The sequence below is a fragment of the Homo sapiens genome, chromosome 7, assembly GCF_000001405.40.
Source record: "Homo sapiens chromosome 7, GRCh38.p14 Primary Assembly".
Lineage (NCBI taxonomy): Eukaryota > Metazoa > Chordata > Mammalia > Primates > Hominidae > Homo > Homo sapiens.
Window position 1 is genome coordinate 31918268 of NC_000007.14, and position 22288 is coordinate 31940555.

General features: G+C 39.3%; 1 protein-coding gene across 27 annotated transcripts in view, besides 2 other annotated features; it reads right to left on the reverse strand.

The window, feature by feature from the left end:
* The window catches only part of PDE1C (phosphodiesterase 1C), an 811448-nt gene that overhangs the window by 301491 nt on the left and 487669 nt on the right, over positions 1–22288 (reverse strand).
* Positions 16869–17163: a silencer, noted in NCBI's record as "tiled region #14950; HepG2 Repressive non-DNase unmatched - State 24:Quies". NCBI's record gives its function as "represses a minimal TATA promoter and a strong SV40 promoter by Sharpr-MPRA in HepG2 cells {active_cell/tissue: HepG2}" and the evidence as "EXISTENCE:reporter gene assay evidence [ECO:0000049][PMID:27701403]".
* Positions 19958–21157: an enhancer, noted in NCBI's record as "CDK7 strongly-dependent group 2 enhancer chr7:31977838-31979037 (GRCh37/hg19 assembly coordinates)". NCBI's record gives its function as "activates an origin of replication core promoter dependent on BRD2, BRD4, P300/CBP, MED14 and CDK7 cofactors, with strong dependence on CDK7, by STARR-seq in HCT116 cells {active_cell/tissue: HCT116}" and the evidence as "EXISTENCE:reporter gene assay evidence [ECO:0000049][PMID:35650434]".

Consider the following 22288-nt stretch of genomic DNA (forward strand, 5'->3'; position numbering starts at 1 on the left):
ATTCCATCCTGGCTTCAAAGTTTTGGAAACAGAATACCTCACACTACACGAATAAAATTTGCAACAAACTGCTAACTGAGGCAAAATAGTATTCATTTGTGTGTAGGTATATGTCACGCATGTACCCTCAGGCCAGCTCTGTAACCCCACGAAGACCCAAGTGATTTCTCCTTCATCCCAGAGCAAAGAGGGAGAAAGAGCTGCTTAGCTGTGCACGTTGAGGAGGTGATCTGGAAATCTGCTTGTTCCTCTGAAGACTATGAACCATTCGTTCAGAGCTTCCTCAGGCCTCCAGCTCCTGAGTCTTTCTGCTGTTCTGCAGCACAAATGAGCTTCCCTCTTGCTGCATTCCTTCTCTGTAGGCTTTCTGCTTTTATAGTCTGCTAAGTCAGTTACTAGTCCATATCATTTCCAGCTTTCAATTTTTTGTTGACATCTATTTTCTTCTGTCATTTCTGCTTCCCTTTTGTTCTTGTGCATTTATACCTTCGTCATTGCCTTGCTGTCACATAAAACGGTTTCATGAAAGAGTAGAGGAAAATCCATGTATTTAATCTGCCCTGCGTAGCCAGAAGCCTCTACTATACTATGTGATACCACTCCACTCCAAGCTAAATCTATCTGAGCCAAGATGGCTAAGTTCCCTGGTGGGACAGACTAATGTAAAACAAACTGAATGGCATTGCTTTTCTTCTTTCCTGTTTCTTCATTGCCATGGATCAGGTTACGTGCAAATAATAATAATAATCAGCAATGCTATAAATAAATCATATTAAGGCAGGGCTTACAGATAAATCCCAAAGTTCAAATGTAAGTATCTTGCCAATTGTTTACTAACTTGTCAAGATATTAAAAATAGAAAACTAACACTCAAGACAACAGAAATAGTTGAGCCATGGTGCCAGGGCATAACCCAAGAACTCGGACTAGACAGTACAAGCATATCAAATAAATATTTAGCTTAGGTATCAGAGCACTGTCATTAAGAGCACAGGGCCAGGAACCAGGCTGCCTGGGTTCAAATACCACCTCTGCCACTGACGAGATGCATAACTTTAGACAAGTTACTTAACCTCGATGTGTCTCAGTTACTGTATCTGAAAATGGGAGTGATAATAATAAGAAAGCCTCATATGGTGGTATGAGGAGTAAACAAATTAAAACTTGTTAAGTACTTAGAATACCCTCTGACACATAGTAACTACTACACAAGTATTGAGAAAGGTAGTTGAGGAAATGAATAAGTGAAAATAATATGGATTCTTCTGGTCAAGAGAGAAAAAAAAGACCCTAACCTCAAGCCACCATTTTAAACTAGAACTTAACCTGTATTACCCTTAAAAAAACGAGGGCAAACCAACACGTAAAAAGAAACCAAAAAAGCAAGATCTTCACTTTTGAGCTTCCAGGAAATCAGGCCTCAAGATTTATAAACACTGTGTCTTAATGGGAATTTTTCAGCTGCACCAGGCTTTACCTTAAATGCTTGCCTAGGGGAAAATCCAGTCCACCTGTTAGAGGCTGGCCCTGCAAGGGTAAGTGTTGAAACCCCAGGTTGCTTGGTGACATCTGGGCATCCACGCCTGTGGTGCTCCCAACCTACCCTCCACTTGGCAGGTGTAGGTTGCGTTTTCTGGCTCCTCTGAGCAGCCTCATTGCCTGGGAGCCAGGCTGTGCTGCACTCTCCCTGCCTGTCTTAAGGAAGATTCCTGTGAAGCCCCTAAATCTGCACTCATGCTCATCCTCTCCACTATTCCTCTTTCCTTTTCTACCCCTATTTCTTAGGTGGAATCTGCCTGAAAAGCCCAAAGCCTGACCTGGAGATCAACCAATCTTCTGGGCATCCATTCAGACAAGGGCTAGGGTTGGCAGCCTGTGGGCTCAACGTCCTACCCATACACTGAGTCCCTGCTTCCCTTTAACTCCCTGGTACTAGTACTGTCTCCTGTTTGCTACCAGTATACCATAGGACAGGAGTCAATCCTAACCATCTGGACACACAGATATCTCCAGGATGCTCCCCAAAAGTTTCCTTGACATCTTGTCTCTTTTTCCCCTCCCCCTAAATCTACACTATTCTGGACATCCATTCTGCTCCTGTCTCTCCAGCAAAGCCACCCTCCTCAGAACCAGCTGCTCCCTGCAACCTCCAATCCCTGGGCAGAGGAGACATATGCTCTTCATGGGGTGAGGTTGGGGTGGCCTGGGGAGAACTCTCCTGAGATAGTAAAAGACAGAAAAAGCCAAAGGAGACTGATCTCAGGGTATAGCCACCTTGTTAAGTCTTTTTTTTATCACCATTTTTATTAAGAAATATTTTACACATATAATATGAAGATCTATGGAGTTGTAAAAAATAATAAAATTATCACATGTTCCTACAAGCCAGCTTAAGAAATAGGATACACAAATAATTAATTAAAAGATCCTTTCCCAATTGTATACTCCCCTGGCTCCCTCGAAGTTGATCACTGTCCTTGATTAGCTCTTATTGAGCCCAACGTGAGGAAAACAGCATGGCCTCTCCAGAAAATGTGGTATGACTATTTTCTGATTCCAGCTATTCATCCTATTTTCCTTTACATCCTGTCCACCAGAAAACTCGTAGTCAAGTCTCCATCCTAACAGTTTAACCCTTCTAATATGCCTGATTTCTTACCACCATTCATTCTATTAACCCTTATGTGCATGTATATCCATGACTGAGTTTTCAGTAGAAGAGGGAATCACTCAAGGAATCAAAGCCATTCAGAAATGCTCCCTCAAAGCCTAAAGCAAACTCAGGCTACTGAAAAATCAATGTCCAAATGATAAGGTAGGTTGACTCTCATCTGGCACCTACTCTAACCCTTGTCTGGTGCATCTTTAGGATGGCACAGGCTAGAAAACATAAAGTACACTTTCTATCCATTCTTGAAACTAGAGTTCTAGATGTGACTTAGTTTCCTCCAAGCAGTCATTATTGCATAATACTTGAATTCAAAACTGAGTTAAGAGGAGATAGAACAGGTCTCATGCAGATTGTTTGGGAGTGAGAGAGATGGGCATGAACACAGCGGACACTGTGCATTCTTGTAGTTAGCGATTCTGAAAGGAGTTTCTAGTCTGTAGAGAGTAAGTAAATGATGCGATCCTAAGGTCAGAAGTTGGGACACTGGCTCCCCAATTTCTCACCTTCCAGGATGCGGCAGGGGGAGACATTCCCTTAATGGTCAGTTCTATATGGTGTTATTTCAGGATTCATTCCTGGAAACCAAGTCAAGAACCTTCTCCTCCAGTTCTTCCAGTGATTTTGTAAACATTTAACTCCTCATATCAAATCATCTCCTGCTGAAAATAACCAAAGGGTTTACTGCTGTTGGCAATTTAATTCTGGCTAATATGTGGAATAGAGAGAGAGAAGTTGACAGAGTAAAGCTTGATAATAAAAAAACACCAGCTCATGCTTTTATCAAGAAAATAAGGCATAACCAGATATCTATTTTTAAATAAAATTGCTTACTTTTAATTTTATATAATGCTTTTACTGTTATTAATAACTTTTTTTAGCATGGCCATGTTATCAATTATCAATAATAATAAAACATAATTATTTGCAGAACATTGATGTTGTATCAAGCACTACATAAGTATTTTATACACTTAGCTCATTTAAGCTTTACAAGTCTATGAGATACGTATTTGTATCCATTCTATAGGTGAGAAAATTAGAGTTAAGAGAGGTTAATTAGTAATTTTCCAAGGTCAAACAGCTGATAGGTGGTAGAGATAAAATCCGAAACCTGTCAGCCTCCAAAACTCACCTCTTAAACTCTTTATTATACTATCTCTGTAAGCTTATGAAATTCACGGCATGAAGAATGAAAAAGGAGTCTGCCTTGATAATATCCGACTCTTCTTTAAGTATCCTCTTGTGTGATATCCTTGGCCCCTCTTACAAATTCTTCAGATTGTTTTGTGTAGACTCTATTTAACAATCTTCAGGAAATACTTTGGAAACACTAATGGAATTGAACTGTTAAAATATAAAATCTCATTGCCCCTAGCAAGAATTCTCTCTAAAATTAGAGCCAGGTTTTGCTTATAATTTAACAGTCTTTTCCCCATCATTTGCATAGTGATAGAGCTTTTATAGTTTTAATTCTGAATTTATATTCCAGAAATGTCAATCTGGAGGCTGTAATCCTACTAACTTTTCTGCATGCCTATTTTTCTGAATATGTATAAATGTTTATTTTCTTTAAGCAGCACATTTCAGAGGTAAAATGTATTTGGAAGACTTTAATCTATGCACAAGCCATCATTAAACTTCCCTGGCATATCTTTCTCTTACAGTTAACCAAATTACATTTGGGTATTTGAAGCAAATGAGGATATAACAAAGTGATTTGGGTGGACAAAATGTATGAACTGCATCCTGTTTATGCAACATTTTTACAATTGTATAAGCTGACAGCTATGCTTAGAGAAACAGTGGAAGAAACAAAATCGTTCACTCAGTGGTTTATAAGAAAAAGAAAAAAATGTCAATTTTCAAGATAAAAGTGTGGAGTCAAGAATGAGTTTTATTTTTTTTAAAAATTCTCATTACAAAGTCCTTGAAAGAATGTCAAGAACAACACAGTTTATGACTATTGGGAAAGTGGATCTCCTCTTAGAATTGGAAGCCTCTATCCTTTCTTTCTGCGTCTCTCTATATAAAGATGTTTCTGTCAGCTTGGGTGCATTTTCATCAAATTTGGAGTATGCATTTGGGAAGCTAGGACTAAACATAGAGCAGTGACATATGTTGAATCAACTTGGGCAGGGAGAGCTGGGGGGACTCCGAGTGGCTGATGCTGAAACACTGCAGGGAGGCCTCTAACCAGAGAAAACATACAGAGGTCTTCATTGAGGGCTCCAGAATCAATCATTCCAATGGCAGATACTCTAAACTGCTCTTCTGATTTTGGACTGAGTTGCTTCTCACCTGGACCACACAACATAACTCAGATGCACTGATTTTCAACCCCAGCTGCATGTTAGAATCACTTGGAGAACTTTTAAAGACTGTGGGTGCCCAGGTCCCAGCCAGACTAGATCAACTGGAACCTGGGGGTGGGAGGTGGGAGGAGGACAGGACAAGTGGCCCCAAGACACCTGCATTTTTAAAAGCTCCCCAGGTGAGTCTAAGGTATAGCCAGAGTTGAAAACCACTGGTTCAGGGTGAATAGCAGCTGGAATTTATATAATCATGGTTAATGATTCTCTTATGAGTAACATGGAGGAGGCCAGCTAGTATTATACAAAGTTAAAATGACATTTTGCTTAGGAATAATTGGAAATATTTTTTGTCAAGTGTTTATGTCTGTGTCTGACAACACACTTACAAGAAAGCTTAGACACTGAAAAGTTAGAAGCCTATGGGAGCTCAGAAGTGAGATTTGGGTTGTGCACCGTGGCTCATGCCTATAATCCCATGTTGGAGAGGCAGACATGGGAGGATTGCCTGAGCCCAGGAGTTTGAGACCACCCTGGGCAACAAAGTGAGACCTGATTTCTAAATTAAATAATAATAATAAATTTTTAACATAATAAAAGAAGTGGGATTTGCTCTCAGCAGAGCCAAGCTCAGCTATATCCAAGTCCTCTGCTTATACAAAGATATCCTCTAGACATAGGTGTTATAATTTCTACTTCCTAAGATGAACTTTTTTTCTATTCAGCTTTTTTCTATTCAAGATCTCATTCCTGTGTAGCTCTGGTTTGAAACCAATAGAAACTTGAGTTTTAAAATCCTGATGTGAGGTTTCTATCATTTTGGCTAGCACTGTTCATTTAGAGTAACTTAACTTCAGTAGAGGAGGATAAATTAGGATCTCCCAAAAAACTTTAAAGGGACCTGCTCTTTTTTTAAGAGTTTTTCCTAAGCATCCTGTATGGATTTCCTTCATTCTCTTTAAGACTGAATGGAATTTTACTGTATATATGATCTAGTGTCTTCCCTCATACCTCACACAGGACAGACAATCAATATTTGTTGACTTAACAAATTAAATATTTAACTATTCTCCCAAATGATGGGTAGGGGCATCTGGTTGACAATAACAGACATATTCAAGGAAATAATTTGTAGCAAAGCTGAGTAGAAGATTCCTCTGAGCTGACAAGCATTTCCCATGTCTCCCATGCAATCAGCTTTGAATTCCAACTTCAGGGACAGAAGGCACTTGCTTGTTGCCTTATAGGCATCATGACTGGCACAAATAAATCTCTTCCTTGCAGCATTTTAGACAAGTGTGATCAACCAATCAATGAAAGCTACAGGCACCTCGAAAGAGCCTTTTCTTTCCAATGTCATTTCCTCCAGCAGCTGCTCCTTCCTTTTGGGAACCCCCGAGTTTATATATAAGCAGGGTTCAGAAGGAAGACAACGTTTTACTCGATGCCTCTCTCATTCAAGTAAATGGGCACTGGCCCATGCTCTGTTCTGCTGCTGGAACCAACTGGAGAGTCCAAAGCATCACATTTTTCCCAGAGGGAAAACTGATGGAAAAAAAAGATGGAACTTCAATGTTCAATCAATCCCAACCAATCAAGAAGCTTTCAATGCTGCTTCATTTACATAAAAGTAGAGCTAACAGCCAAAAAGCAGTCTTTAATTCAGGTATCAATGTATAATTCTCAAATATATGGCTCAATCTCAAATATATGGCTCAACCTGCCAGAGTTATAGAAATGACCTGGTAGAAAATGTATTCCTATCCTTGAAGGAGCTAAAAGTAGACATTTCTGTGTGTGTGTGTGTGTGTGTGTGTGTGTGTGTGTGTGTGTGTGTGTGTGTGCATGCGCATGAGTGTGTGTGAGAGAGAGATGAGAGAGACAGATTCATCACTATCAAGATAAGAGCTGAAGAATTTCTTTAAACAGAGCCCCCACTGTTAAGTGGACTCCAAAGGATAAAGGTTTCTCTCACTGACTTGAACCTCATTATTAATTATATTTATTATTAGTTCCTTTCCTTGAATATGTCTGTTATCATCAGCCAGATGCCCCTACCCATCAGTGGGGAGAATAGTTAAATATTTAATTTGTTAAGTCAACAAATATTGATTGTCTGTCATATGTGAGGCACTAGGGAAGACAGTGGTTCACACATACAATAAAGTTCCATTCAGTCTTTAAAGAGAATGAAGGAAATTGATACAGGATGCTTAGGAAAAACTCTTAAAAAAAAGAAAAGATGTCCAATGTGTATAGTATCTTGCATTTGTGTTTTAAAAAGTATTTACATTTATATTTATATGTTCACATAATTACATCGAAATCTTTTGGTGCTATACACAAGAAACCACTGACAAACTCTGAAGACTAGGGTGTCTCTAGGGTGGAAGGGAGACAATTTGCATCATAATGTTTGCCATTTTTTACATGTACATTTGTTATTTTAATAAAAAATAAAATGTCTAAGTCATGAGCAGTATTTTCTAGAGTAGAAAGATTATTTACACTGAGAATGAAGAGTGATTTCAAAGAATCATGAATTTTCCTAATTTTCCCCAATTTTAAATCTTAAAACTATGAATTTTCCAATAAAATTAGTATTCATAAAATAATTAGGGGTTTGGCAAATATGCAAGTTGTGTCTGTCAGCATAGTCCACTCACCCCGATTTCCATGTATGCATATGTGCACACTCCATGTCCCGTTTTTAATCCCTTTCTCTTCCTGCCCACCCCAACCCAGCCCCACACAATCTCAAACAGTCTATGCTGTAGGACACAGGTATACCTGTGATCATACATTACAGTTTGTAAACAGAATATTATGCTTTATATTCACAATGGATGGATAGGATATATTCTATTTACCCTACACACGTCTGTACATACACACACACACACACAATTATACACACACGCATATTGCCTGGTATTCATGTATTTTTCAACTGTGTGTCCTGAAACGATTTTTCTTTTTCAGTGAGTCATTCATTGGCCTGTGAAATAAAATGTTTTCCTACTCAGAGATTTGTAATGCCAATGTTCAAACCTACATAGTGTACTGTCATGAGAATTAAATAAACTGAAGCATGTGACAGTTCCTCACCCAGATCCTAGCACAAAGCAGTCACTCAATAAATGTTTGTGGAATATAAGTGCATTAAATATGTGTTGAATGTGAACGCAAACCTATGAATATTTTAGCAAATAACCTCTAACAGATAGAACCATGTTAGAAAACTACCAGTTGGATGGCCAAATAGGAACAGCTCCGGTCTGCAGCTCCCAGCAAGACCAAGGCAGAAGGTGGGTGATTCCTGCATTTCCAGCTGAGGTACCTGGCTTATCTCACCGGGACTGGTTAGACAGCGGGTGCAGCCCATAGTGGGCCAGCAGAAGCAGGGTGGGGCATCGCCTCACCTGGGAAAGTGCAAGGAGTCAGGGAACTCCCTCCTCTAGCCAAGGGAAGCTGCTAGGGACTGTGCTGTGAGGGACTGTGCTCTCCAGCCCAGATGCTATGCTTTTCCCATGGCTTTTGCAACGGCAGACCAGGAGATTCCTGGTCTCATGTGCCTACACCACCAGGACCCTGGATTTCAAGCACAAAACTATGTGGTCATTTGGGCAGACACCAAGCTAGCTGCAGGAGTTTTTTTGTTTTGTTTTGTTTTGTTTTGTACCCCAGTGGCGCCTAGAACACCAGCAAGACAGAACCGTTCACTCCCCTGGAAAGGGGGTTGAAGCTAGGGAGCCAAGTGTTCTCACTCAGTGGGTTCCACTTCCATGAAGCCCAGCAAGCTAAGAACCAGTGGCTTGAAATTCTCACTGCCAGCACAGCAATCTGAAGTTGACCTGGGACGATTGAGCTTGGTGTGGGGAGGTGCATCTGCCATTACTGAGACCTGAGTAGGTGGTTAAACCCCTCACAGTGTTAACTCTGACTGTGTGGAACTCACCGCAGTGTGGCAAAGGTCCTGGGGCTGGACTGCCTCTCTAAATCCTACTCACTTGGCAGGACATCTCTGAAAGAAAGGCGGCAGCCTCAGTCAGGGGCTTATAGATAAAACTCCCATCTCCCTGGGACAGAGCACTTGGGGGTAGGGGCAGTTGTGGGTGCGGCTTTTAGTGGACTTAATGTTCCTGCCTGCCGGCTCTGAAGAGAGCAGTGGATTTACCAGCACAGCCCTAGAGCTCTGCTAAGGGACAGACTGCCTCCTCAAGTGGGTCCCTGACACCCATGCCTCCTGACTGGGAGATACCTCCCAGCAGGGGTCAACAGACACCTCATACAGGAAAGCTCCAGCTGGTATCAGACAGGTGTCCCTCTGGGACAAAGCTTCCAGAGGAAGAAGCAGGCAGCAATCTTTGCTTTTCTGCAGCCTCCGCTGGTGATACCCAGGCAAACAGGGTCTGGAGTGGACCTCCAGCAAACTCCAGCAGACCTGCAGAAGAGAGTCCTGTTAGAACTAACAAACAGAAAGCAATAACATCAACATCCACAAAAAGGACACCCACAGAAAAACCCCATCCAAAGGCCATCAGCATCAAAGATCAAAGGTATATAAATCCACGAAGATGAGGAAAAACCAGTGCAAAAATGCTGAAAATTCCAAAAACCAGAATACCTCATCTCCTCCAAATGATTGCAATTCCTCTCCAACAAGGGCACACAACTGGATGGAGAATGAGTTTGACGAATTAACAGAAGTAGGCTTCAGAAGGTGGGTAATAACAAGCTCCACTGAGCTAAAGGAGCATGTTCTAACCCAATGCAAGGAAGCTAAGAACCTTGATAAAAGGTTACAGGAACTGCTAACTAGAATAACCAGTTTAGGGAAGAACATAAATGACCTGATGGAGCTGAAAAACACAGCACGAGAACTTCATGAAGCATACACAATATCAATGGCTGAATTGATCAAGCGGAAGAAAGGATATCAGAGATTGAATATCAACTTAATGAAATGAAGAGTGAAGACAAGATTAGAGAAAAAAGAATGAAAAGGAACAAATAAAGCCTCCAAGAAATATGGGACTATGTGAAAAGACCAAAGCTATGATTGTACCTGAAAGTGACAGGGAGAATGGAACCAAGTTGGAAAACACACTTTAGGATGTTATCCAGGAGAATTTCCCCAACCTAGCAAGACAGCCAAACATTCAACTTCAGGAAATACAGAGAACACCACTAAGATACTCCTTAAGAAGAGTAACCCCAAGAAACATAACCATCAGATTCTCCAAGGTTGAAACAAAGGAAAAAATGTTAAGGGCAGCCAGACAGAAAGGTCAGGTTACTTACAAAGGGATGCCCATCTAACTAACAGTGGATCTCTCAGAAGAAACCCTACAACCCAGAAGAGAGTGGGGGCCAATATTCAACATTCTTAAAGAAAAGAATTTTCAACCCAGAATTTTATATCCAGCCAAAAACTAAGCTTCATAAGCAAAGGAGAAATAAAATCCTTTACAGACAAGCAAATGCTAAGGGATTTTATCACCACCAGCCTGCCTCACAAGAGCTCCTGAAGGAAGCACTAAATATGGAAAGGAAAAACTGGTACCAGCCACTGCAAAAACATACCAAATTATAAAGACCAATGACACTATGAAGAAACTGCATCAACTAATGTGCAAAATGATCAGCTAGCATCATGATGACAGGATCAAATTCACACACAACAATATTAACCTTAAATGTAAATGGGCTAAATACCCCAATTAAGAGACACAGACTGGCAAATTGGATAAAGAGTCAAGACCCATTGGTGTGCTGTATTCAGGAGACCCATCTCATGTGCAAAGACACATATAGGCTCAAAATAAAGGGATGGAGGAATATTTACCAAGCAAATGGAAAGCAAAAAAAAAAAGCAGGGGTTGCAATCCTAGTCTCTGATAAAACAGACTTTAAACCAACAAGGATCAAAAAAGACAAAAAAGGGCATTACATAATGGTAAAGGGATCAATGCAACAAGAAGAGCTAACTATCCTAAATATATATGCACCTAATACAGGAGCTCCCAGATTCATAAAGCAAGTTCTTAGAGACCTACAAAGAGACTTAGACTCCCACACAATAATAGTGGGAGACTTTAACACCCCACTGTCAATATCAGACAGATCGATGAGACAGAAAATTAACAAGGATATTCAGGACTTGAACTCAGCTCTGGACCAAGCAGACCTAATAGACATCTACAAAACTCTCCACCACAAATCAACAGAATATACATTCTTCTTAGCACCACATAGCAATTATCCTAAAATCGACCATATATTTGGAAGTAAAACACTCCTCAGCAAATGCAAAAGAATGGAAAACATAACAGTCTCTCAGACAACAGTGCAATCAAATTAGAACTCAGGATTAAGAAACTCACTCAAAACCACACAACTACATGGAAATGGAACAAACCTGCTCCTGAATAACTACTGAGTAAATAACGAAATTAAGGCAGAAATAAATAAGTTCTTTGAAACCAATGAGAACCAAGACACAACGTATCAGAATCTCTGGCACACGGCTAAAGCAATGTTTAGAGGAAAATTTATAGCACTAAATGCCCACAACAGAAAGTGGGAAAGATTTAATATCACAATTAAAAGAACTAGAGAAGCAAGAGCAAACAAATTCAAAAGCTAGCAGAAGACAAAAATAACTAAGATCAGAGCAGAACTGAAGGAGACACAGACATGAAAAACTCTTCCAAAAATCAAGGAATCCAGGAGCTGTTTTTTTGAAAAGATTAACAAAATAGACCACTAGCCAGACTAATAAAGAAGAGAGAAGAATCAAATAGACACAATAAAAAATGATAAAGGGGATATCACCACTGATCCCACAGAAATACAAACTACCATTAGAGAATACTATAAACACCTCTACACAAATCAACTAGAAAAATCTAGAAGAAATGGATAAATTCCTGGACACATACACCCTCCCAGGACTAAAACAGGAGGAAGTCCCTGAATAGACCAATAACAAGTTCTGAAATTGAGGCAGTAATTAATAGACTACCAACCAAAAAGAAGTCCAGGACCAGATGAATTCACAGCCAAATTCCACCAGAGGTACAAAGAGGAGCTGGTATTATTCCTTCTGAAACTATTCCAAACAATAGAAAAAGAGGGACTCCTCCCTAACTCATTTTATAAGGCCAGCATCATCCTGATACCAAAACCTGGCAGAGACACAACAAAAAATGAAAATTTCAGGCCAATATTTCTGATGAACATTGATGCAAAAATCCTCAATAAAATACTGGCAAACTGAAACCAGCAGCATATCAAAAAGCTTATCCAGGCCAGGCGTGGTGGCTCACGCCTGTAATCCCAGCACCTTGGAAGGCCAAGGCAGGCGGATCACGAGGTCAGGAGATCGAGACCATCCTGGCTAACACAGTGAAACCTCATCTCTACTAAAAATACAAAATAATAATAATAATAGCCAGGCATGGTGGTACACACCTGTAGTCCCAGCTACTTGGGAGGCTGAGGCAGGAGAATCACTTGAACCTGGGAGGCGGAGGCTGTAGTGAGCCGAGATCATGCCACTGCAGTCCAGCCTGGGCAACAGAGCAAGACTCTGTCTCAAAAAAAAAAAAAAAAAAAAAAAAAAAAGCTTATCCACCACTATCAAGTTGGCTTCATCCCTGGGATGGAAGGCTTGTTCAACATATGAAAATCAATAAACGTAATCCATCACATAAACAGAACCAATGACAATAAACCACATGATTATCTCAATAGACGCAGAAAAGGCCTTCAGTAAAATTCAACATCCCTTCATGCTAAAAGCACTCAACAAACTAGGTATTGATGGAATGTATCTCAAAATAATAAGAGTTATTTATGACAAAGCCATAGCCGATATCATACTGACTGGGTAAAAGCTGGAAGCATTCCCTTTGAAAACTGGCACAAGACAAGGATGCCCTCTCTCACCACTCCTTTTCAACATAGTATTGGAAGGTCTGGTCAGGGCAATCAAGCAAGAGAAAGAAAGAAAGTGTATTCAAATAGGAAGACAGAAGGTCAAATTGTCTCTGTTTGCAGATGACATGATTGTATATTTAGAAAACTGCATTGTCTCAGCCCAAAAACTCCTTAAGCTGATAAGCCACTTCAGCAAAGTCTCAGGAAACAACATCAATGTGCAAAAATCATAAGCAATCCTATACACCAATAGCAGACAAACAGAGAGCCAAATCATGAGTGAACTCCCATTCACAATTGCTACAAAGAAAATAAAATACCTAGGAATACAACTTACAAACGAAGTGAAGGACCTCTTCAAGGAGAACTACAAACCACTGTTCAAGGAAATAAGAGAGCACACAAACAAATGGAAAAACATTCCATGCTCATGGATAGGAAGAATCAATATCGTGAAAATGGCCATACTGCCCAAAGTAATTTATAGATTCAATGCTATTCCCATTAAGCTAACATTGACTTTCTCCACAGAACCAGGAAAAAATACTTTAAATTTCATATGGAACCAAAAGAGAGCCCATATAGCCAAGACAATCCAAAGGAAAATGAACAAACCTGAAGGCATCACACTACCTGACTTCAAACTATACTACAAGGCTACAGTAACCAAAACAGATACATAGACCAATGGAACAGAACGGAGGTCTCACAAATAACACCACACACCTACAACCATCTGATCTTTGAGAAACCTGACAAAAACAAGCTATGGGGAAAGGATTCCCTATTTAATAAATGGTGCTGGGCAAACTGGCTAGTCATATGCAGAAAACTGAAACTGGACCCCTTCATTACACCTTATACAAAAATTAACTCAAGATGGATTAAAGACTAAAATGTAAAACCTAAAACAATAAAAACCCTAGAAGAAAACCTAGGCAATACCATTCAGGACATAGGCATGGGCAAAGACTTCATGACTAAAACAACGAAAGCAATGGCAACAGAAGCCAAAATTGACAAATAGGATCTAATTAAACTAAAGAGCTTCTGCACAGCAAAAGAAACTATCATCAGAGTGAACAGACAACCTACAGAATGGGAGAAAATTTTTGCAATCTATCCATCTGACAAAGATCTAATATCCAGAATCTACAAGGAACTTAAACAAATTTACAAGAAAAAAGAAAACGACCCCATCAAAAAGTGGGTGAAGGATATGAGCAGACGTTTCTCAAAAGAAGACATTTATGTGGCCAAAAAACATGAAAAAAGCTCACCATCAGTGGTCATTAGAGAAATGAAAATTAAAACCACAATGAGATACCATCTCATACCAGTTAGAATGGTGATCATTAAAAAGTCAGCAAACAACAGATGCGGGTGAGGATGTGGAGAAATAGGAATGCTTTTATACTGTTGGTGGGAATGTAAATTAGTTCAACCAGTGTGGAAGACAGTGTGGCAATTCCTCAAGGATCTAGAATCAGAAATACCATTTGATCCAGCAATCCCATTACTGGGTATATGCCCAAAGGATTATAAGTCATTCTACCATAAAGACACATGCGCACATATGTTTACTGCAGTGCTATTCACAATAGCAAAGACTTGGAACCAACCTAAATGCCCATCAGTGATAGACTAGATAAAGAAAATGTGGCACATATACACCATGGAATACTATGCAGCCATAAAGAAGAATGAGTTCATGTTCTTTGCAAGGACGTGGATGAAACTGGAAACCATCTTTCTCAGCAAACTAACACAGGAACAGAAAACCAAACACCACATGTTCCCACTCATAAGTGGGAGTTGAATAATGAGAATGAACGGGCACAGGGAAGGGAACATCACACACTGGGATCTGTCAGGGGTTAAGGGGCAAGCAGAGGGAAAGCATTAGGACAAATACCTAATGCATACAGGGCTTAAAACCTAGATGATGGGTTGATGGGTGCAGCAAGCCACCATGGTACATGTATACCTATGTAACAAACCTGCATGTTCTGCACATGTAACCCAGAACTTAAAGTTTAATTTAAAAAAAAAGAAAACTACTAGATGTTTTTCTCTTTAATTAGAGAAAACAATAAATATATCAATATGTCAATATAGTATTTTCAATTCATTGCAACATGACCAGGGTAAACACCTAAGTATTTATTTCTGGAAGTGATGCTACAGTAAACATTGAAATTGAAGAATAATGTCTAATACAATTTTCCAGAATAGAGGAGCCTTTTGTTTTTCAACACCAATTATTGTATTGGAAGAAACTTTCTATTTAAATAACAGGTTTTTACACCAACCACAGCTAATAGGGCCCATTGCATAAACAAGTGCATTGTGTAACAGTTTTAGGATGACACTTGATATACAGTCTGGATACTCGTCCCTGCCCAGCTCTCATGTTGAATTGTAATCCTCAGTATTGGAGGTGGGGACTGGTGGGAGGTGTTTGGGTCATGGGGGCAGATACCTTATGAATGACTTGGGCCAACCCCATTGGTGATAGTGAGCTCTCACTCTAAGCTCATGAGAGATCTGTTGGTTTAAAAGTGTGTGGCACCTCCCCACTGCCTTGCTCATGCTTCTGCCATGGGACATGCAAGCTCCCACTTCTTCTGCCTTGAATGAAAGTTTTCTGAGGCTTCACCAGAAGCTATGTTTCCCACACAACCTGCAGAACCATGAGCCAATTAAACCTCTTTTCTTTATAAATTACCCAGTCTCAGGTTTTTCTTTATAGCAATGTGAGAATGGCCTAATACACTTAAGAAAATAATACCCTAAAAATGAATTTCACTTTTTCAAGGCATTTGAACATGCGCTATTCCACTTCATGCTTTTCCACAATTATATGAATTCAAGATGGTATGAAAAGAAACAGGGAATTGTCTTGAATAGTTAAGTGCTTCATCCAAGTCTCTGCCAAGAGACTTCATATCCTTGTACCTTCTGGTGGCCACGATTGCTAAGACACCATCAAATGAATGTAGGACTCCTCTCACTTAAGAATAGCTTTTCAGAGTAAGAAAAGAGATGCTATATTTGATGTACATCTCTGCTCTGATAAGTACACTGATTCAAAAAATGATTCAGTTTTTTAAAATGTGCCCACTAGAATTCAAACTTTATGACATAGCTAAGGTTCTTAGCCTTAGTTTATTAATGACATTTTTGTTCATAAGTGTAATTCAGACAATAACACGATATTAATGTAATCCTTGTCATTCATTCCAGTGGCAACTTTCTCTGTGTAACATGCTTTGCACTGAAACTAGTTTATGCTCCTGGCACAGCATCTTTAAAGTAGAAAATTTATTACATAAACATTTCCAGCAAATTCAATTAGCACCACCAATACAAAAAAAAAAAAAATCACACTAGCTTACGTGAGTTGATACTGGTCTGATTTATACGGCAAAACTGTCTGACTCTTGCCTCATAATCTAAAATTTCATAGTAGGAACACTGTAAAGTTATCTGATTTGTGGTACGTTTGAGGAAGGGTAATCTCCTCTTATGCCATCATTCTCCTAAATGCCCAGAAATTTTACTCAAGGTCAGTTGGAGCACTGAATGCTCTGTGAGTCACTGATGCTCAGGCTTGCCTGCCGTTCTTTTATAGGATCTCTGTGGGCCAGAAAATCATGAAAATATAGTTCTACAAAAAAATAAATTCCTCCAACACTGAATTCTCTTTCCAATATTACAATTTCATGGGGAGAAAATGGAAGAAAATGAGTGATTATGTTCCAATTTCATTTTAAAACTACAGTGATAGTGCTACATTGTTAAACTAATCTCATTTCTAGAACATACATGTAAGGACAAAAATATCAAGTTAACAAATTGTTTTTATCTTATAACCTTCCATTATGACAAAAGCAACAAAAACTCGAATGCCTTCTCTAGTAAGAGAACATGGATAGTGCTAGCGTTGATACAGGGGTCTATCCATTCTAAAATGTCAAGACACAGAAATAGTGAAGAGAAGGCAGCCTGAGTAGATGAAAACGATAAAAACTTTCTCATATTGACACAACATTCCTTTGTTCAACTGAAATCAGTGCTTTTGAAAACCCACTTGGCTGACAGCCCTGAGCCTGGGGCATTCTCCATTTCCTTTACAAATTAAGTCAGTTATTTCAACTCTGCCCCTTGCCCCAGGCCTGCACTTCCCTTTTACAGAACCTCCCTCCTATTGACTTCAGGGCACAAGTTCATCCTTCTCTAACTCTTGCTTTTCACACTAAAGTTCATACACCTGAAAGGAAAACCTATAAATAAGCTCTCAGGACAAATAAAAATCCATCAATGCGAAGGTCAGGGAGAGCTTTCAATGATACAAGCGCACATTCATTCAATTATTCATTCATTCATTTGCCAGCACCCACTCTGCAGCAGGCCCAATGCTAGGCCTGGAGACACGCATAATAATAAAATAAGACTCAGTCCCTTGTCTCAGAGGTGTTTACAATCCGGTCAGCGTAACTAACATAAATTAAAGTTAGGATGCATGTGCTAAGAGTAGTATAAATAAAATGCTATGGGGGACCGAAGAATGACCCTTGCACTAAAGTCTCTTTGCCTCTGGGTCCTCTTATTTATCAGGGTCTAACGTCACCAAGCAGCAGCTGAAAGGAAAGGAAGACAATGCTAGCAGTAGCAGCAGCCTCAGCAGTGCTCCTGACACTGAGTGGGAACTGGGGAGGGGTGGAGCTCACAAGACTTATTACCCAGCTTCTTACATTTTGATAAAGGGAGGAAACTTCCCTCCACTTCCCACAGGGGAACATAGGAGGGAATGCCGTCTGTAAGATATTCACAGCAACCTCTATCAAAGTTTCAGCCATTTCCCACTTTTACTCCAAAAGTGACCATATTCTGCAATCCAAAAATTGGGACATGGGATCTGACAAATAAGTTTTTTTCCAATCAAAAAGTATATTTTTATAAAGATCTAAAGACGGAATCACACATGGCTATATACTCAACATTTGTTGAGTCATTATTAAGCAGGGAATGGTCCATAAAACCTATCATGTGGGTTGGGATAGACAGTAACATGTATCCATGTCTTTGCTTCTACCACACCCAAACTGCATTGATGCTGATGCTACAAAAAGCCAATGGAAAGGATTGTTTTTTCCCAATTCCTGAGAAAACAAACTCAACAATATGCCCTTACAACACACACCTGTGGTATTCTAAGCTCATTCCTTCCAGGGAGAAGAAAAAAAAAAAAAACTCTAAAAAGTTATAACACCTCATTTATCCCAAACTTACAGGCATCAGACACACATCTATGAGCAAGCATGCGAGCAGGACGTGCCAATAGCATCCCCCACTAAGGACATGTACTAAACCTTATGAACATGATGATATCAAACAGGACATTTAGAACTTCAAGGATCCTATTAATTCTTATTTTGCATACAAGTGTAGTCACTTTGCTTTTCTGGTTTAATGACTCATCACAGATTAGAAACCAGGAATTTTAAAGGGGTAGAGAGAAGAAGTATTGAAGTTAGGCATACAAAGAGTTCTGGCACACTATAAATATTTGTTCTATAAACCAAAAAGGATCTGAGGCATGTCTCAATCAGTTTAGAGGTTTATTTTGCCAAGGTTAAGAGCCAGCCCACGACAGAGCCTCAGGAGGTCCTGAGAATATGTGCACAAGGTGTGGTTGAGTTACAGCTTGCTTTTATACATTTTAGGGAGACAGAAGTTACAGGTAAAGACATACGTCAACACACGTAAGCTATCACTGGTTTGCCCATCTCCAAATGGGCAGGTTGGGAGGGGTGCTTCCAGGTCATAGGTAAATTCAAAGATTTATTGACTGGCAATTGTAGAAACAGTTGAAGTCAGCCTGAGTTAAGATAGGGGGGATTGTGGAAGCCAAGGTTCTTGTTATGTAGACAAAGCCTCCCTGTAGAAGGCTTCAGAGAGAATAGATGGTGACTGTCTCTTATCAGACCTTAAAAGACATCAGACTCTGGAAAAAAACTAGTAATGGAAGGAGAGTCTCTATAGAACGCAAATTCCCCCGACAAGAAACAGCTTTGCAGGACCATTTCAAAATATGTCAAAGAAATATATTGTGGGGTAAAATACTTTTATTTCTTTCAGGACCTGCTGTGTTATGTGGTACTATACCAGAGTCAGGTTGGAATTTGGTATCTTACTGCTACAAAAAGTCTGTTTTGTCAGTCATAAGAGTTCTGTTTTCATGTTAATGCTGATCAATTGTGTCTAAACTCCAAAGAGAGGAGAGTATAAACAGGCATGTCCTGGTGCTCCCTTCCCATCATGGCTGGAACTAGTTCTTCAGGTTTCTTTGGGATCCCTTTGGCCAAGAGGAAGATCCATTCTTTTGGCTAGGGGTGCCTAGAATTTTATTTTGGGTTTACAGTTCCACGAATGAAGGAATGAGAAAACAAGTCACATCAAATAGACTTGCAATAAAAAGACAATGTTTTAAAGTCTGTTCAAAAGACATCCAGGACTATTCATTGCCTTTAAAATTTTCTATACAGATCAGTTATGCTTACTACTATTTGCCAATTCTAATGATACTCACCATTAAGAAACTCACATTTTATTCAGCATATTATGCTGAAGGAGCCATAAACATGAAAACTACACATTCAAGGTTTTTCACTACAAAATAGTTTCCACAAAAAGCTTCTGAAGTGGCGAGCTTCAGTTTTTGTAAAATTTGTTAACATGGGCACTCCATTCCCAAACAATGCAAGATAAATAGAGTGTTTACTTTGCCTTGAAAAGTACATTATTTATAGAGGTATGTTATACTCATTTAAAATAAACCCACTTAAGATGAAGAGAAAGCCCTTGTCTTTAATCATCCAGACTGAGATCTATACTGATTGAGCTTTCTGTATAATTACTCACATGTACATTTCACACTGTGTAGATACAATCTAGGGCCTACTGTAGGAATTGCAAGCAATTTGGGGATTTTGCAATAATGTCATTTTGGAAGATGGATGCATTTCTGATTCAACAATGGTTATTAATCTAGTAGCCTAGGAAAAAATTAACAGGCATCTAAAAATTTCTAAAATTGGTTTGCAAAGGTCTAGAATATGCAGTTTCCCAAACCATTCACATATTTGGGTAATTCCAAATAATTTATCTGCAGCTTTTATCTTGTAAAGTATCTCAAAAGAGAGCAGGCAAACCAGATAAGCTGGAAGGGGTGGGGGGCTGGGAGGGAGGAGTCAGACCAAATTGTTTAAAGTCATATTCAATATTATTGGTAGAAAGTTCTTTTTACCTGATATTTACTCTTAGAATACTTTCCTTTTAATCATGTATGCAATACTATAAGTATCTACCTCTATTCAAAAACGATAAAAACATTGATCAAAGTTTACTGTGAAACTTTACAAAAATTTATGTTGAATCATCTTTATTCATAATAGCTCCTAGCACATAAAACTATTCAATAATTCACAAATTTTTGTTGAATGAATAACTGAATGACACACAGCTCCTAGCACATAAAACTATTCAATAATTCACAAATTTTTGTTGAATGAATAACTGAATGACACATAGCTCCTAGCACATAAAACTACTCAATAATTCACAAATTTTTGTTGAATGAATAACTGACACTTGCATGTCTCAATGACACAATGGCAAATTGTATCTTTTTAACCTTAATTATAGCTACAGTGCACTAATGACACAGCATCATTGTCAAGAGCTCAGCACCCTCACCACCTCCAGCACCAAAGCACTTTTAGCTCCCAGTGGCATGTTCTAGGTATTGCACAGGACAATTCAGAAGCATAATCCAAGTCCTTCAGGAAGTCCAAATTTAAAAAGCTCAAGCGCTGGCAAAAATTTTAATTTAAAATTATTACTCTAGCAGTGCGAGGACAAAACTAGGTGGTTGGTCTAATTTGTATTTTTTCAAGTCAGTTGCTATGGTTTTAAAAATTCATGTAGAAGAATCTCTCTGTTAAACACACAGAGAGAGAGACAGAAGAAGAAGAAGGAGGAGGAGGAGGAGAAGGAGGAGAAAGAGGAGGAGCAGCAAAATCATTTACATGGTTATTCAGTTCAGTGTAACTGACTTGGGTGAGCAATGAATAGACCACACCGCTGAGTCTTCAAGGTTGTATCCAAATGCTCTCATTTGACAAGAGTTAAAAGGAACACACGAGTTTAAGATAAACCCTGCCTTTGTTTTTAATATTTAGTGATATGATTTTGGTTGAAGTCTGGGAGGGTCACTATATCATCAGAAAACACAGAAGGGATATTGACAAGCATCTTATGAGACAAATAAGAAGTTAATCTGAGAGTTGAGAAAAATATAAATGAAAACAAAGGATTTTTAAGGAGAAGAAATTGATAAGAGATGAGGAATATAAATAAATATTTTAAAAGCAGCTTCAGAACATCCAAGAACAGTTCTCACTTTACTTGACTCATCAAGACCTGCTTAGGAAAGAAGATAGTCACTAACTCTTCTTTACCAAAAAGACCAATGAATTATGATAGAAACTGATCAAGATAATACAAAGAAAGGAAGGGATAAAACTCAAGAGAGCATGTAACAAAGGTCAATACACAATGAAGTCATCTAGAAAGATAAAGAATATTGGCAACTCCCAAAAAGCAGTACAGTCAGGGCCAACTGAGAGTCTTAGAAAAAGGAGGCATGTTTGGCTGCCCACAGCCTGGAGAAAGAGTGAGTATCCACCATCACAGAGAGATGTGCAGTGCAGAATCTGGGAAACTAGGAAATCTCCCCAAACTAGAGCAAAATGTCAGATTAATGGCATCCAGCTCTGGCTGCACATTAGAATCACCGGGGGAAGTTTTTAGAAATCGCAAATGCTCAAGCCCCACCTGGAGAGACTGATTCATTTTATTTAGGTTGGATCTGGGTTTAGAAACTATTTTAAAGTAGTAATTAGCAGAGACAGAATTTGAACTCATATCTATCTGACTCCAAATCCCAGGCTTTTCCTATTGTGCCACAATGTCTCCTTCTAGCCCTACCCAACCAAGCGGTATTGGAGGGGTGGAGTTGCCTGTGCTGTAGTTTCTCCTCTGACATACTCTCAGGTGCTCAGGCTTAGCTGTCTGAGATGAAAGCAGAGGCAGTAGCTGTAAAAGCAGATGGTCAAGACTTGAGTCTGTTTTCTCCCTGAATGATTTTCCAGTTTTTCTCTGCAAGGTAGAGTTCATGATTCATCCTCTTTTAGGCTAGAAGAAAACTACAGAAGCCTGAAGTCCAAAGAATGGAGCCCCAGAATACAAACAGGCCAGTGTTGCTGGCCCAGGGAAGGGAGGAAGATGCACAGGGCAG